The sequence below is a fragment of the Homo sapiens genome, chromosome 7, assembly GCF_000001405.40.
Source record: "Homo sapiens chromosome 7, GRCh38.p14 Primary Assembly".
In the NCBI taxonomy this organism is placed as follows: domain Eukaryota; kingdom Metazoa; phylum Chordata; class Mammalia; order Primates; family Hominidae; genus Homo; species Homo sapiens.
Window position 1 is genome coordinate 108,782,052 of NC_000007.14, and position 18,925 is coordinate 108,800,976.

Below are 18,925 nucleotides of genomic sequence, written 5' to 3' on the forward strand. Positions count from 1 at the left end.
GCCTCATAGCAAGATGAAACATCTGTCTGTTTTGTGTGGCCGTCACAAAATAATCAAAGACTAAGTAATTTATAAAGAACAAAAATTTATTTCTCATAGTTAATGGAGGCTGAGAAGTCCAAGACGAAAGTGCTGGCATCTCATGAGGGTCTTCTTCCTGTGTCCCCACAGGGCATAAGAGTGTAAGACTATGAACTCATTTCTGCAAGCCCTTTATACAATGATGTTAATTCATTCATGAGAGTGGGGACCTCGTGACCTAAACACCTCCCATTAGATTCTACCTCCCAACACTGTTGCACTGTGCATTGAGTTTCTAACACATAAATTTTGGGGGGCACATTCAAACCATAACATGGAGTTTTCTGCATTGAGAAATGAAGGATCCATTTAATACAGGGACCTCAAAATACAAAGAGAAAACTGACTGGCTGTATGGAGCTAGACGAAGAGGAGTAAGAAACTACTATTTGCAAGGCTGTGTAATTCCAAGGACTGTTATTCTTGGATGCTATGATGTTTTTAAAGAACAAACTACTATACATTTGTAAGTTATTAAATTATTAATATTATTTGAGAATTTCAAATGGCTTAACTAATCAATGTGACATAGTGGGAAAATTGGGCCTTTAATTGAAGACACAATTTGCTGATTACCACTTGGTAACTTAGCCCTTGCTTCTCTAACCCTTAGTTCATCTTGTAAAATGCATTAGTTCTACTCCATAGGGGTATTGTGAGATTTAAACGCAGTGCAGCATATTAAGCACCCAGTGTAGTCCCTGATACATAGTGAAACATCAATAATAAATTGTTGCTACTGGTAGAAATCCCTTGGCGTTTGGTAGATTTCCAATAAATACTAATTCTTCTAAAACTTTTAATGATTATGTAGATAGATATATGCCTAGATCTGGTAACAAATATGCTATATCAATAGTCAAAACATTCTCTCTTAATTTTATTATGATATATATTGGAAATCTTAGTGTGGTTTTGATTATACTAACATAATTATGTGGCATTAGTATGCCAAATGTACTCACAGTTATGCCAAAATTACCTGCCCCAAATTACAGCTAATCCTTTCTTTGGTCCTAGGAGAGATACGCACACTAGGGATATCACCATAAAAGTGAAGAAACACTTTATTACTGGCTGGGCTTGTTTCTGAAATTCTAACACAGAGTTCTTATAACATGGACTTTTCCTTGCCTCCTAGTTCAAGCTTGAGGGCTTACTGTGCTCTTGCAGGGAAAGATAAAAGAAAGTGTCAGAGTGAAAGAATGGTCAAATGTATGAACTCTTCTTTTATTTATTAATTTAAATACAGTGACTCTGTTCACTAGTAAACACACCTAACCCCTGCCTTAGAGTCAGATTAACATCTTCTTTGAGGACAGCCCAAAGAAGAAAAATGCAAGGATGAAGCCTAGAGAGGTTTCCATCTCGTATACTTATATTCCACTATCTTTGGTTCTTTCTTTCAACCATTAGACTTAAACCCAACTGTATAATTAATCAAACATGTGGATATTTCCTTGGAGGAAGAAATAGAGAAGTGTCAGGGAAGTTCGACCGCCACCTAAGTGTGTCTGCTTTTTTAATGCTGCCTTATGGTCTAAAGAGATGGGTGAAAAGCAGAGTATTCATTTCAAGGCCATACTATATTATATGCCATCTATTCACTCCAGGCTGCTTGTTGTCAAGGAAGAATAAAAACCTTGATATCAAAGAGAATTAAGCTCTCAAAATTAGTTTCTCTTTCACATACCAAAGTAACCTTGAGCTTTCTAGCCTGCAAATTTCTCTCCCTTAATATTCTTTCTCTGTTCCGTTCCACTGAAAGTGATGTCACAGTGGTGTAGTTAGAGTCTGGGTTACTCTTTCCTGCAGAACTGTTCTTCAGTACCTCTAGATAGAAAATAGTCCAACATCAAGTCTTGCATGAGTTTTCCTTTACCAAAGATCTAGTAGTCTAGAAGATATTTAAAAATCACATTATTGAGCCCACATCTGCAAAAAGGAGAAGTATATACAATATTCTTAGGACTCAATACATATTACTTGTGTGCTTGTCTTTGCATGGACATGTATGTGTTTTAATTTCTCTTGCGTAAACACTTAGGGTTGGCATTGCTGACCCACATGGTAAGTGTATGTTTAACTTTATAAGCATCTGACAGTTTTCCAAAGTGACTGTACCATATTAAATTTCCATTAGCACTGTTTATGATTTCCAGTTGCTCTGTATCCTTTCCAGCAAGTGGTATTGTCAGTTTGTTTAATTTTAGCCATGATAGTTAAGTGTAGAATGATATCAAATTATGGTTTTAATTTGCATTTCACCAAAGAATAATAATATATTTGCATGTACTTATTTGTCATCAATATTTCTTCTTTGGTGAACAGTTAAAATGTTTTGTGCATTTTTATTGGGTTGTCTTCTTATTAATAAGTTGTCAGAATCTTCAGTCTGAATACCTGTTATACATTTTGCATTATTTTATCTCAGTGTGTGACTTGCCTTTTAATTTTATTAATATAATTTTTCAAAGAGCAGAAGTTTTAAAATTTTGATTGTCTCCATTATCTATTTTTTTATGGGTTGTGCTTTTGATGTTTTACCTAAGAAATCTTTGCCTAACCTAAAGCCCCAAAGATCTTCTTCAATATTTTCTTTTAAAATATTTTTAGTTTTAGGTTTCACATTTAGGTATATGATCCATTTTAATTTTTACATATGGTACAAGGTAATGGTCAAGAACCATTTTTCCTTTCCTTTTCCTTTTTCTTTTCTTTCTTTCTTTCTTTCTTTTTTTTTTTGCATATAGATGTTCCAGTGATATTGCTTAGAAGGTAATTCTTTCCTTATTTATGTATCTCTTTAGCAATTTTATCAAAAATAAATTGAGCGCATACCTGTGGGTCTGTTTTTGAATTCTCTATTCTTTTCCATTGATCTATATGTATGTGTCCTTAGACCAATAATTACTTTAGCTTTAGACTAATCTTTAAATTAGGAAGTGTTAGTCTTCTGACACTGTTCTTTTAAAAATTGTTTTGGTTTGCATTTCTATATAAATTTTATAATCAGTTTGTTAATTTCTAAAAAACATTCTGTTGAATCTATATATCAATTTGGACCTGACATTTTAATGATAATAAGTTTTCCAACCCATAAATATAACTATTAGTTTTGGTTTTCTTTAATTTCTCTCATCAATATTTTCTAGTTTCCAGTATATACAGTGTACTCATATTTCATTAAATTTATTTCTAAGTCAGCACCCTTTTAGTTTTCTGAATGTCATGAATAGATACTAAATTATGGTAAATGCCTTGTCTGGGACATCTATTGAGATGATCATATGGTTTTCCCTTTTGTAGACTGCTGACATAAAGAATTAAATGGACTGATTTTTAAATGTTGAATAATCATTGCATTACTGAGGTCAGGCCCACTCTTCAAAATATATTAAATTTTATTTGCTAATATTTTTGTATGGATTTTTACATCTGTGTCTATGAATAGTTTATTTTCCTCTAATATCTCTGTCTGGTTTCTGTATCAGGGTAATATCAGCCTCATAAAATGAGTTGAGAAGTATTCCCTTTGCTATGTCTCCTGGAAGATTTAAGGAAATTGGTATTATTTATTTATTTTTTATTTAATAGAATTGAACAGTGAAGCTATATGGGCTGAGTTTTCCTTATGGAAAGATTTTTAGACTACAATTTAAATTTATTGTATAAACATTGGGATATTCAGTTTATCTATTCCTTCCTGAGTGATGATTGGTCGTTTGTACCTTTCAAGGAATTTTGCTATTTTATTTATCAAAATTATTGGGATTATGTTGTTCATAATAATTTCTTTATATGCCTTTAACTATGTAATATGCAGTGATGTCCCCTCTTCCTATAAAATATTAGTAGTTTTCATTTTGATTAACAATTCTAGAAGTTGATCAGTTTTGTCAATCTTTAAAAATAACCAACCGGCTTTTTAAGCTAATAAGCAACTTCAGCAAACTCTTGGGATACAAAGTCAATGTGCAAAAATCGCTAGCATTCCTATGCACCAAGAACAGACAAGCAGAGAGCCAAATTATGAATGAATTCCCATTCACAACTGCCACAAAAAGAATAAAATACTTAGGAATAGAGCTAACAAGGGAAGTGAAGGACCTCTTCAAGGAGAACTACAAATCACTGCTCAAAGAAATCAGAGGTGACACAAAACAAATGAAAAAACATTCCCTGCTCATGGATAGGAAGAATCAATATTGTGAAAATGGCTATACTGCCCAAAGCAATTTATAGCTTCAAAGCTATTCCCATTAAAATATCATTGACATTCTTCACAGAATTAGAAAAAGCTATTCTAAAATTCATATGAAACCCCCAAAGAACCTGAATTGCCAAGTCAATCTTAAGCAAAAAAGAACAAAGCTGGAGGCTTCATGCTACCTGACATCAAGCTATACTACAAAGCTGCAGTAACTAAAATAGAATGGTACTGGTACAAAAACAGACACATAGACCAATGGAAGAGAGTTGAGAACCCAGAAATAAGACTGCACACCTACGACCATCTGATCTTTGACAAACATGACAAAAACAAGCAATGGGAAAAGGATTTCTTATTTAATAAATGGTGTTGGGAGAACTAGCTGGCCGTATGCAGAAAATTGAAACTGGACCTCTTCCTTACACCATATACAAAAATCAACTCAAGATGGATTAAATACTTAAACCCCAAACTATAAAAACCCTTGAAGAAAGCCTAGGCAATACCATTCAGGACATAGGCACAGGCAAAGATTCGTGACAAAGATGCTAAAAGCAATTGCAACAAAAGCTAAAATTGACAAATGGGATCTAATTAAACTAAAGAGCTTCTGCACAGCAAAGAAAACTTTCAACTGAGTGCACAGAAAACTTATGGAATGGGAGAAAATTTTTGCAAACTATGCATCTGAAAAGGGTCTAATATCCAGCAACTGTAAGGAACTTAAATTTATAACAAAAAAAAAATCCATTAAGAAGGGCAAAGGACACAAACCAAACACTTTAAAAATAAGATATACATGCAGCCAACAAGCATATGAAAAAAGGCTCAATATCACTGATCGTTAGAGAATTGCAAGTCAAAACCACAACGAGATACCTTCTCACACCAATCAGAATGGCTGTTGTTAAAAAGTCAAAAAATAATAGATGCTAGTGAGGTTTTGGAGAAAAGGGAACACTTGTACACTGATGGTGGGAGTGTAATTAGTTCAACCTTTGTGGAAGACAGTGTAGCAATTCCTCAAAGACCTAAAAAAGAAATACTATTCAACCTGGCAATTCCATTACTGGGTATATACTCAAAAAACTATAAATCATTCTATTATAAAGACAGATGCACATGTATGTTTATTGCAGCACTACTCACAGTAGCAAAGACATGGAATCAACCTAAATGCCCATCAGTGATACACTAGATAAAGAAAATGTGATACATATACACCGTGGAATACCATACAGCCATAAAAAAGAACAAGATCATGTCCTTTGCAGGGACATGAATGGAGCTGGAGGCCATTATTTTTAGCAAACTAATGCAGGAACAGAAAACCAAATACTGCCTGTTCTTAGTTACAAGTGGGAGATAAATGAGGAGAACACATGGACACATAGAGGGGAACAACACACACTGGGAACTGTCAGAGAGTTGATGGTAGGAGGAGGAAGAGGATCAGGAAGACTAGCTAGTGGATGCTGGGCTTAATACCTGGGTGATGGGATGATCTGTGCAGCAAACCACCATGGCACATGTTTACCTATGTAACAAACCTGCACATTCTGCACATGTACCCCTGAACTTAAAAGTTGAAAAGAAAAAAATTCTTTGAAGACTGGTAAAAAGAACACTAGCTTTTGTGTTTATTAATTTTCTCTATTGTTTTTCTATTTTTAATTGTATTGCTTGCTAGTCTTATTTTTATTACTTCCCAACTTTTACTTTTTTGGTTTTAATTTGTTCTTCCTCTTCTATTTTCATAAGGTAGAAGCTTCTATTATTGATTTGAGAACTTTCTGCTTTTCTAATGTAATCAATTGATAGTATAAATCCCCCTCTAATCACTGCCTTAGCTGTGCTCCACAGATTTTGATACGTTGTGCTTTCATTTTCAGTCAATTAAGGTATTTTCTAATTTCCCTTGTGATTTTTCTTTGATACATAGAAGTACTTAAAATTATGCTGGGTAATTTCCAGAACATTTTTGGTTTTCTAGATAGCTTTCTGTTACTGATTTCTAATGTCATCCTGTTTTGGTCAGAGAATACAATTTGGATGTTTTCACATTTCTCATTTTAAAAAACAGCAAAATATATATAACACCAAATTTGCCATTTTAACCATCTTTAAATGTACAGTTCAATGGCATTCCAATATATTTACATTGTTGTGCTACCATCACCATCATTCATCCACAGAACTCTTCTTATCTTTCAGAACTGAAACTCTGCCCATAAACAATAACTTCTTACTGACCCCTTCTCTCAGCTATTGGCAACTACCATCTTAATAGAATTTGACTACTTTAGATACCTCATATAAGTGTAATCACACAATATTTATACTTTTGTGATTGGCTCATTTCACTTAGCAGTATGTCCTCAAGGTTCATACATGTTGTAGCATGTGTCAGAACTTCCTTTTTTTTTTTTTTGAGATGGAGTCTTGCTCTGTCACCAGGCTGGAGTGCAGTGGCGCAATCTCGGCTCACTGCAACCTCCGCCTCCCGGGTTCAAGTGATTCTCCTGCCTCAGCCTCCCAAGTAGCTGGGACTACAGGCACCCACCACCATGCCTGGCTAATTTTTGTATTTTTAGTAGAGATGAGGTTTCACCATGTTGGCCAGGATGGTCTGGATCTCCTGACCTCGTGATCCAGCTGCCTTGGCCTCCCAAAGTGCTGGGATTACAGACGTGAGCCACCGTACCCAGCCCAACTTCCTTCCTTTTTAAAGGCCTAATAATATTTCATTGTATGTATATACCACATTTTGTTTATTCATTCATGTGGACATTTTTATGGCTCCAGATACGTTCTATGTTGGTGAAATGTACACATGAAAAGAATGTATATTCTGACATTGTTGGGTGGGATTTAATATATAGATGTGAAGTTGGTTGATAATTATATCTTCACTGATTTTCTCTCTAATTGGTTTGTCAATTACTGAGAAAAGTATTAAAGTCTCCAACAAAGCTGTGTATTTGTCTATTTCTTTCTTCACTTCTGTCAGTTTTTGCTTTATGAAATTAATCTCTATTATTAGATATATACACATTTAGTATTGTTACATATTCTTGATAAATTGTCCCATTTGTCATTATTTAATGCTCCTGTGCATTCCTGGTAATATTCCTTGTTCTGAATTCTGTTTTGTCTTGTATCAGTGTAGGCACATTTGTTTTCTTTGACTAATGTACAAATAGTATATTTTTTATTATCCCTTTACTGTTAACCTATTTATTTTTATACTTAAAGTGGGTTTCTTATAGACAGCGTTCAGTTTTTTATTCAAAATGACAATCACTATATTTTAATTGGGATATTTAGGCCATTTACAATTAGTGTAACTTTTGATATAGTTTGACTTAAGTCTACCTTTTAAATAGTTTTCTGTTTGTCCTATATATTCTTTTTTTGTTTATTTTTCATTTCTCACTTTTTTTGATAAATGTATTTTTTTATGATTGCATTTTATTTCTAGTATTGGCTTATGAGTTTTTCTTTAACTTTAATTTTAGGTTCAGAAGTACATGTGGAGACTTATTGTTATATATAGGTAAGCTGTGTGTCATGGGGGGTTTGGAGTACAGATTTTTTAATCACCCAGGTAATAAGCATAGTGTCTGATAGGTAGTTTTTGATCTTCTCCCTCCTCCTGCCCTTCACTCTCAAGAAGGCTCTGGTGTCTGTTATTCCCTTCTTTATGTTTATATGTTCTCATTGTTTCGTTCCCACTTATTAGTGAGAACATGTGGTATTTGGTTTTCTGTTTCTGCATTAGTTTGTTTATGATAATTGCCTCCAGCTCCATCCATGTTGCTGCAAAGGACATAATCTCATTCCTTTTTATGTCTGCATAGTATTCCATGGTGTATATGTGCCATATTTTTTTTTATCCATTCTATCATTGATGGGTACTTAGTTTGATTCCATGTCCTTGCTATTGTGAATAGTGTTGCAGTAAATACATGCATGCATTTGTTTCTTTATTGTAGGATGATATTTATTCCTTTGGGCATATACCCAATAATGGGATTTCTGGGTCAAATGGTAATTCTGTTTTAAGTTCATTGAGGAATTGCCAGACTGCTTTCCACAATGGCTGAATGAAATTACATTCCCGCCAGCAGAGTATAAGCATTCCCTTTTCTCTGCAACCTCATCAGCATCTGTTATTTTTTGATTGCTCAAAGCAATTTACAGATTCTGTCCTATTCCTGTCACACTACCAATGATATTCTTCACAGAATTAGAAAAAAACTATTTAAAAATTCATGTGGAATCAAAAAAGAGCCCAAATAGCCAAGGCAATCCTATGCAAAAAGATCAAAGCAGGAAGCATCATGTTACCTCATTTCAAACTGTACTATAAGGCTACAGTGACCAAAACAGCATGATACTCATATGAAAAGAGATGCAGAAAGCAATGGAACAGAATAGAGAGCCCAGAAGTAATGCTGCAACCTACCCCATCTCATCTTTGTCAAAGTTGACAAAAACAAGCAATGGGAAAAGGATTCCCTATTCAATAAATGGCGCTAGGATAACTGGCTAGCCATATGCAGAAGATTGAAATTGGGACCTTTTCTTACATCATATACAAAAATCATATCAAGATGGATTAAATAATTAAATGTAAAACCTAAAAGAATAAAAACCCTGGAAGATAACCTAGGCAATACCATTCTGGACATAGGAACTGGCAAAGATTTCAAAAGCAATTGCAACAAAACCAAAAATTGACAAACGGGACCTAATTAAACTAAAGATCTTCTGCACAGCAACAGAAACTACCAACAGAGCAAACAGACAACCTACAGCATAGGAGAAAATATTTGCAAATTATGCATCCAACAGAGATCTAATATCTGGAATCTATAAGGAATTTAAACAAATCTACAAGCAAAAAACAAATAATCCTATTGAAAATTGGGCAAAGGACATGAACAGACACTTTTCAAAGGAAGACAAACACACAACCAACAAGCATATGAAAAAATGCTCAACATCACTAATCATTATAGAAATGCAAATCAAAACCACAGTGAGATATCACCACACACCAGTCACAATGGCTCTATTAAGGAGACTTAGTAGTTATACCACCTTTAAAAATAATTACTTGTTGCTCTGCTTTCTGTACAGTAGAAGAACCTTACAGTAGTGTACTTAGCATGCTAGTGGACTCTCCCAGTTTCCTACCATTCTCCAATCATTTTTGTGTTATTCTAAACTGTGAATTTATCACAGTTATTTTAAACTTTCGTGCTAGCCCCTTAAAATTTTATCTTTTGTCTTTTCTCTTCTTACCTGCTTGTATAGTAGTCACTCCTTCCTCTATGCTCTGCTAAAGGTGAAACAATTTGTGTTTCCTGTTTACCCCCAAGAGGGGCTTGTCTCTCTGGAATTTGTTTATTTGGGTGCCTAGTGGCTTCAATTCTCTGATAGGCTCACAAAATATTATGATTTTATAAATTATACAGCTTTTAATTGTTATTGGAAACAATGGCTTAAGTGATATTATCTTGTAGCTTTCTGCATCCTTAGTGGCAGTGGAACTTCAATGATGGGATTTTGGCATTTAGATATTAAGTGAATGCTCTAAAATGCCGTGAGTAGAGAGTGGTGTTGAACTCCGAAACTCACTTTCCCTCCATTATATCATATTACATTATTAAGCTCTTTAAATATTTGAATAATATTAGTAAGTTTTATATTTATACAGGGGTTTTCCAATTAAGAACACTTTAGTTTTTACACTTAGCAACTAATTGAATCTTTGTAGTCTTGTGATTTACACATTACTAAGGTCCTCAGTTTACAGGTGAGAATTAATAACTGAAGCTGGCAAGTAATGGAGATAAAACTCAAATCTGCTTCCAAGCACATAGAGCTTTTCAAAATCCATGCCTATCTATGTGGATATTTAAAGCAGATATACCCATATGGATTATTTAAATGTTGAGTTTATTCCCTAAAAGATAAAACATAATTAGTGAGAAATTTAGTTCCCAAAATGGAAAACTAATTAGTGAGAAATGGCACTTAATAGAAAATTTATTAATTGTAGAGCTACTTATAGTCATTGATATCATCCCTTTCTGTAGGTGAAAGTCAAATGGATGATTATCTTTGGAACTGTGCTGTTATTTTGGAAAAAAAAGAAGATTTTGCTGTTCTTGTAATGAGCTGTAACTGCTTCAGAAATAATGTCAATACGTCTTTCCTAGCATTTGCCTATCAGTTGGAGACTATTATTAGAGAACAAATTAATATTTTATTAATATTATCATTTACACATCCTATTTTAATAACCCATGTACAATTATACTGAAAAATAAAAGATCACATAAAAATGTATCTTAAGGACAAAGAAAACATTATTTTTGAACTTACACATATTTTAGACATTAAAATTTATAGAATTCAAAGTTGAGGTAAGTAGATGGTTCACTCATGCCACACATATGAGAGGGCACAAATTTGAGCAGGATGTTCTTCCTAGTACATGTTTTACATGAATTGCTCTCTATTTCTAAAATTGGTTTGAAGTCACATGATGAGAAATGGTAAAGCATTGAGTTTATAGTATGGGACAATTATACCCCAAATGCCTTAATAATTTAATAGGTTTCAGATCAAGGTTCTAGAAATACTTATGAACTAGAAGCATGTAGTAAGAGTTGAAGAAAATAACAAATACTACTTGTCTCAAAATATATTCTATAGTGCCTAAATTCCTGCCACTGAATTACCTTTGCAGGTTTAGTGTATTGCTTCTAAATGGAGCCTGGAAATTTCACTTTTTATCTGAAGAGGAAAAAAAAAGTCGGGCTAGCCAGCCATCCATTTGCAAAACTGATGGTACTGAGGGACTGGGATTGTGCCAGATGACTTTGAACAGGAAACAGATCAGAAAGGGTATAAAGCTTAGGACACTTCCTCAGAGAAGGTGATCTCAGTAAACACAAGGAGATTGGACATACAAGAGAAGAGAATGTAGCAAGGAGTAAAAGATTTCAAACCGTGTGATAGTTTTTCCCAGAGACTTAGCAGACAATGTACTTGCTAACAAGGATTATATCTCGTCCTTGTCAACACCAAATGAGCAAGTATACACTATTTACCAAATCTTCACCATATTCATGACACTATTCTGGAAGCAATGAATATAAAAAGCAGCATGTTTCCTCATTTACACAGTCTGTTATATATTTTGAGTTATATTAGTACATAAAAAAGCAAAGATAGGCAATAGCAAAGATAAATATCCACGAAAGAAACTGAGAATCCCATTGAGTGTAACAGAAAAGTCTGATAGGCAATTTCTAGATTCAGATAATTGAGACCAAATTCCAGTGAGGCATTAGGATTTGAGATAATCCCTAAGACTATTCCTAAGATAAATGTTTGGATGAGTGGAATTTTGGGGTGGCATCCTCCAAAGGGAGCTACTCAGAAGAAGCAAAATTCAAGAGAAGTAGACACAGTTCTCTGGAGCAGATGATTCTCTTTTGGGAAAGTTGGAAGATTAACAAGGAGTTTTAAGACAGGATTGGATTGTGGGGTCTACTTCTCATACCTTTCTTACTCTGTTTCTTAAATGTTGATGTTGCCTTGGCCTCCAGTCTCAAGCTGCATTTCACTCTGCATACTCTCCCCAGGAACTCGTATTTTCTCCTAAGACTTCAGTTTTGAAGAAAATGTGTTGAAGGTCTTTAAGCTTATATATCTAATCATTTTGTTTGTAAATTGTTTGCTTTCCAATCTAGTATATCCAATTGCTTATCAGACTTCTATACTTGAATGTCTCAAAACCATCAGAGACTAAAGTATTACAATCTGATCTCATAATCTCTCTCAGCATCCTCTCCTAACTCCTTTTCCTATAATCTTCTCTACTTACTACCTGTGTAGCTTTGGGCAAGTTGCTTAAGCTCTTTGTATCTTGGTTTCTATATTTGAAAAAAAGGAATAAAAATATTGTTTTTTTAGGAGTTTCTGGGAGGACAAAAACAAGTTAATACATGTCAAGCTCTAAGAATAGTGCCTAGCATGTAAGAAGTCCCCAAAAAATATCATTTTTTTCCAGCCATCTGAATCAGTATATCTTATTACTTTTGTCTCAGCATATAACTGGTCACTAAGTGCTATCAAATATATGCCTCTTCATTTCCTTCTTTCAATCCCCTCTAGCATGACCTTAGTCCAGATGTGCATCACTTTTCAACTGTATCATGATAATTGTAATAAGGTGATAACACACTCTCTCCAGTTTCACTTCTCTCCCCTCTGTCTTCCAAAATGCCACCATTGTGACCTTTTGAAACTGCACTGAACAAAATGCTTCAAGGATGAATGACATTCATAGTGAGACCCAAATTCCCTTGAACAGCACTGTAGGCCCTACGGGTACCTCTTTGGATGTCTATTTCACTGCTTTCCCAATGACTCCTGGTGTTTCAGATATATTAAATATTCCCTGTCCTCTATATTTTTGCAAATGCAATTCCTTCCACTTTCAAAGTCCATTCTCCAACCCCTTTCTTCTCCTATCTAACTTTTACTTTTTCTTTATGACCAGGTCATACACTTTGTCTTCCTCACTGTGATCCTTCCCAGCCTGCTCTGGGTTGGGTGATGTATCAAGAAACCAGCAGGAAACAGGTGGCACACTCAGGTGAGTAATTTGAGGAGGATTTTATAAAGGGATTATTTACAAAGGTTTAGACAGGATTAAGGGAAACCCACAAAAGTAGAACAGAACCCCGGCAGTAGCAATAGCTTGGTGCTATTATTACCCCTAGGCCTGATGGGGAAAGAGGAGGTAACGTCTTATGGCTTATCCTGGAAAGGACCACCTAACAGGAGATGTGGTCTGTTGTACAGCCTGCAGCTATCCCTCAAGGAGGAACTGGGGGATAAATATCCTTTGCTCAGTGTCCTTGCACCCTTTGCTTACTTTCTTTTATTGTCTGAACTCAACCTGAGGCTAGAAGGTAAGGCTGTTAAAGTAGCTATAAGGTCTGTGTCCTGGGAGCACTGAACACTGTGGAGGTGCATGGAAAGGGGATCTGGAAGGACAAATGAAAAATATTCAACAGAGATGCTTTCTTCCGCAGGACCTAGTCCCTAGGACATACCTTTATTATGAAACTTAACATGCAATATTGAATACATGTCCACTTTGTCATAAATTGAGGAATCCTTTATCCTAGGGACTATCTTTTTATTTTCTCAGCATCCCTATACTTTAACAGGTGCTTGAATGAATGAATTAATTAATAAATAGCAATGTCAGGGTAAGGTCTGTGCCCTATAAAACACAAGGAATATTACTGTTTGAAGTTAATTACCTAATTCGCTTTCTAGAACTTTAGATTTGTGCTACAATTTAGGATTTTTCAGTTAAGACATCATGTCTATTTCTCTTTGGTATAATATGTAAATGAGTGGAAGTATGCACATGTGTTGTTTATTTCATAATTTAAAAAAATGATGATGGGTCAGACAAATACCAGACAATTCACAGGCTTTAGATAAATATGAGAAAACAATTTCTCTAAGAAAATCATCTCCATTTAGTCATTTATTCACTTGATTTAACCCCATGCTGCTATTAGTTATGCAGGGAAAATAGTGTTTTAATGACTCTTCAGAAAATGTTCACCACAGGAAGAAATACCATATGACTGGAATAGGCTAACAGGATATTTATCTCTCTGTGCATTTTGTGGGTCTTAATACCATCACACCTACGTGCTCCAAGAAAGATATTACAGTAGAGCAGCTGCTAACAAAGGGCTATATAATTCATATGGAAATTAAGACTTTAGAAAGAGCAAAGTCCTTTTGAACATGTTAACTAGCCTAAATATGAGATAGAAATTATGGCTGGACATGGTGGCTCATGCCTGTAATCCCAGCACTTTGGGAGGCCGAGGCGGGTGGATCACCTGAGGTCGGGAGTTCAACACTAGCCTGGCCAACATGGTGGAACCCCATCTTGACTAAAAATGCAAAAAAGTAGCTGGGCGTGGTGGCGTGTGCCTGTAGTCCTAGCTGCTTGGGGGGCTGAGGCACGAGAATTGCTTGAACCCAAGAGGCAGAGGTTACAATGAGCCGAGATCATGCCACTGCACTCCAGCCTGGGTGACAGAGGGAGACTCCATCTCAAAAATAATAACAAAAAAGAAATTACATGATCTACCATTTATATTAATCAGCATGACTATGGTTACAATTAAAGATAGCTTAGAATATGAAGAGTTAATAATATACAGTAATTATGTATCTTGGCTTTTTAAAGTAAAGCACTTTTATCAAGTGTTGTTAACTGGTTATGATAAATATAATCAACCCAAATTCTTTTGTAACAAGAAAAACAAGTTTTTAAGAGTTTGAGAAAGACATACAAATTAGAAAAAAAAAAAAAACAGATGAAGAAACTGATATCAAAGAGATCGTAACCACGTGAAATCACTTTCCAGTTGGACATAGAGATAGAACCCCTGTTTCTGGACTCCTGAGCCTAAATTCCTGATATCACATCATGCTGCCTCCTAATGCTAAGCACTAGTGGGATAAGATCATGTAAAGTTGGGCAGTCAATTTCCATAGCATTCTACGCGGGGGCTGTGCTTTCTGGAGAGAGCCAAGAACCCTGTTACAGAGTACAATGATTTGCTTAATAAGAGTTTTAATATGGAAGCCCAGATCCATTTATAAACTTATAAACTACAGAACTAGAAAATGTCTTTACTAAGGACATTTTGTTGGTGAATGGTTGTAAGATGGCATCATTAATAGCTTATCAAAGAAAAGCAGGACTTGTCCTGTGTTACTTTTTGGAAAATAGTTTTCATAAATAGAAATAACCATTTTTTAAAAAGTACCTTTTGTATTAGTCCACTTTCACACTGTTACAAAGAATACTACTGGAGACTGGGTAATTTATAAAGGGAAGAGGTTTAATTGACTCACAGTTCCACATGGCTGGAGAGGTCTCAGGAAACTTACAATCATGGCCAAAGGTGAAGGCAAAGCAAGGACCTTCTTCACATGGCGGCAGGAGAGAGAAGTACAAGCAGGGGAAATGCCAGATGCTTATAAAACCATCAGATCTCATGAGACCTCACTCACTATCATGGGAACAGTATGGGGGAAACTGCCCCCACAATCTAATCACCTCCCACAGGGTCCCTCTCTTGACACTTGGGGATTATGGGAATTTACAATTCAAGATGAGATTTGGGTGGGACACAGCCAAATCATATCACGTTTTATGGGAATTCCATTTCTTCCCTTTTGTACTATGAATTTTACTTTCCTTATGTTTTCAAAGCTCAGATTTACTATTAATTTTCTTGACCTGTTCCCAGCACCCTCCCTAGTCATTCATATTGGCTTGAAAGCTGAATAAAGGGGAAAAATGAGCTGAGAAACAACTATTCACTTGATTAAATTGAACCCATTTATTTTCATCTCACGGATGAGAACTTATCATCTGAAATCTCATCACCATTTGTTTTAATCTAGTCTATGTTTCTGGTGGCAAAGTGAGACTCTTCAAGGCTTGGAGCTATTTTTTGATGTTAATCCTTGTAAAACTAGTACTAATCTTTGTCATTTATGACAGGTCCTGACATTGGAGCTGCTTAGTGCCAATTTGGAGGAAATAGGATACAATGTTATCTGAGCCATTTTTCCCTACCTGGCAAACATCAGGGATCTCTCTTAAAATAAAACAGAGATTCTCTTTCTGCTTAGAAAGTCTTATCTCTAGCCCTTCAACTTTTCCATGGATCTCAAAGGGAGATCTCTAACTCCCTCTGGATTTTTCTCAAAAGCTTCTCAAACTTGTCTCTTCCTTTCAAAACTTCCTCTTCCATCAGTCTTCCCTAATTCAGTTACATGGAAAATATGGCCCCAATTTGGGTGTTGGGGAAGGCTAGAAGTGGCCAAAGAAGAATATAGAGACCTACACTAAACACCTAAAATCTCATCCACTGGTCTCTTTGAGAATGCAATTAAACTATGACACATAGGAAATGAATTTACAAGTCAGTTAGTACATCTACCTGCCTTGAGGTAGTGACTACACCTAAACACTCACTGATGTATGTGAAAAACCAGTCCTCTGGAGGCATTTAGAAAACATATTCTGAAGTAGGTATTATGACTTGTGTGTGAAAAGATGGGTAGAAGGTTGAATATGAATTTGAGATATGTATGAAAAAAAAAGACAAAACAACTGAAGCCTATTCCGTGAGTGGAGCAGTGTGAGTGTCTCTTAGGGAGAAGCCCTTGTACAGTGTGAAAGGAATTTTCTGCTGTCTTTGAAACTTGCTTCTCTCTAAGGTATTTTGTGAAATTATTAGGAACAGAGCAGGGCTCAGCTTTAGTAAGGTTTTGATTAGTGTTTGAAAAGCCTTCAGAGTTTGTCTTAGATGCCTATAATGGGTGAAAGTAAACTGCATATCATAAATCATACCAGTTTATTAGTAGTAGGTGGAATAAATCCTGAAGTGAGTGAACAGAGAATTAATGAGAGTGCTTTATTCCTAAAGCACTTTATAAGATATATATGCAGTGAAGCAGCTGCAAGTAAAAGGTCTGGCAAGAGGTAGAAGAGGGAGGATACTGAGTGAGGTGTCATTCTCTGAAACTACAGGTATTTGCCACCAAACACCTTGATTTGGGGACCTGGGTTGCTCAGTGTTGCAAAAATAGCAGGTTGTGTGTCTGAAGAGATTATACAAAACGACTGGCTGAAAAGGGTCAATTGTTGTTTTTAAAAGTATTTATCCTGGGTTCCTAGCATCCATGAGCTGAATTTGTTCCTCAGAATGCATTGGGAGACCGGCAAGAGACTAAAGGAAAACCAATATGTAAAATGAGAGCTCATGAGTTTTGTTACCCCTAACAACCCCATACTGCCTCTTCCTAGGAGTCACTCTTATTTCCCAGGTCTCTCATGGCATCAGGATTTTCCTCCTCCCTGGCCCTTTAACAGCTTGTCAATACACGCAAATGTCCACATACTTAACAGCTATTATAGCATCCCTTGATCTTGAGTCCCCCTCCCGCTCAATATTCTTTCTATTTTTTTGTAGCCAAATGGGAAAGAAAAGTCTATTCTCACCACCTTGGCTCTCCTCAACTTCCTGGGATTCTCACATCCATTACTGTGCGGAAGTGGGCTTCTCCCAGGTGACTGGTAGCCTCCCACCAACAATATCAGTCGCATCCTCCAGGATCCTATGGCTTTTGAGTCACTACCATCTCTCAATTTTCCTGTTAACTTTTTGACTACTATTTATCAGTCTCCTTCCAGGCTTCTTTTACTTTTTGGAAGCCTGTAAATGCTGATATTACCAAAGGATGAGTTGTTGGCTCTGTGACACTCTCATTCTCATATTCACTGCCATGATCTCAAATATCATGATTTCCACAAATTCTATCTCTAACCTAGACTTCATATCTGAGCTGCCGATTATCATCTTCACCTGGTTGGCCTTAAGGGCATCTCAAAGGTCACACAGCTAATTTCTATCTTCAGGTAAGTTTTCTCCATCCTCTTAATAGAATTACTTTGCAGTCACTCCTGCTGGAAACCTTGCCATTTTTGACTCCTCCTTTTCACACTCCCGGGAATCAATCAATGAGTCTTGCTGATAGCACATCAGAATTAACATCGCAATTTCCTTTCTCTTCCTCTGTTGTTTCTGACATTCCCTTCATATGTGTTGCCTCATTTCTCAACTAGTTTAAATAGGCTCCTAATAATGTTTTTCCTCTAGGCATCTCAATTCTTCCCTGCACTTCTACCATATTACTTTCTCTAATCATGTCTCTTTCCTTCTTAAAACAATGAATCTGTATCAAGAGCATCAAGTTAATTACCATGGTGTTTAAGGCACTTCATAATCTGTTTCCAGGCAACATTTTCAACATTGCATTGTTTTTAACATATACATTTCTTTTCCACCACACTCTCAAATCTTGTCTTGAACTCCTAAGTATTGAATCATACTAGACTACATGTTATCACCCAAAATATGCTGGGTGCATTTGAGCCTTGATTATTTTGCATATACTTTCTCCCACCCCTCATTTGGAATTTAGTGTTGCTGTTCTTTGCCTCCTGGTCTCTCCTTCTTCAAGCCCAGCTCATGTGTCCTTGCCTCTGTGTAAACTTCCTTAACTCCCAATTCCAGAGGCAGAATGAAATCCCATTCTCCCCTCCTCCCCCTCCTCCCTTCTCCACCCTTCCCTTCCCCTCCTCCCCTTGCCTCTACCTCTCCACAACTCCTTCCCCTTCCCTCCACCTCTCCTCTACTCTCTCCTCTTCTCTCGCCCTTCCCCTTTCCCCTCCCCTTCTCCCCTCCCCTGGTCTCCTTTCCTCCCCTCTTCTCCCCCTTCCCCTCTCCCCTCCTCCTGTCCCCTCCCCTCCTTTCCTTCCCTCCACCTCTCCTCCACTTCCCCCGCTGTTGTCCCCCCTCCCCTTTCCTCCTCCTCTCCTCCACTCCCTTCCTTCCCCCTTCCCTCCCCTCCTCTCCCCTCTTCTCCCCTCCTTTCCTCTCCTCTTTTCTCCTCCTCTCTCTTCTCTTTCTTATACTTCGAGAAATC

At 36.3% G+C, this 18,925-nt stretch overlaps 1 long non-coding RNA gene across 1 annotated transcript in view; it reads left to right on the forward strand.

Moving 5' to 3' along the window:
• Nucleotides 1–1,870: 1,870 nt before the first annotated feature.
• The window catches only part of LOC107986836 (uncharacterized), a 57,428-nt gene continuing 40,373 nt past the window's right edge, over nucleotides 1,871–18,925 (forward strand). Inside the window, exons 1-2 of the long non-coding RNA XR_001745322.1 lie at nucleotides 1,871–2,151; nucleotides 12,879–12,974. This is a non-coding gene — a long non-coding RNA (uncharacterized LOC107986836). The remainder of the gene's footprint in view (nucleotides 2,152–12,878; nucleotides 12,975–18,925) is intronic.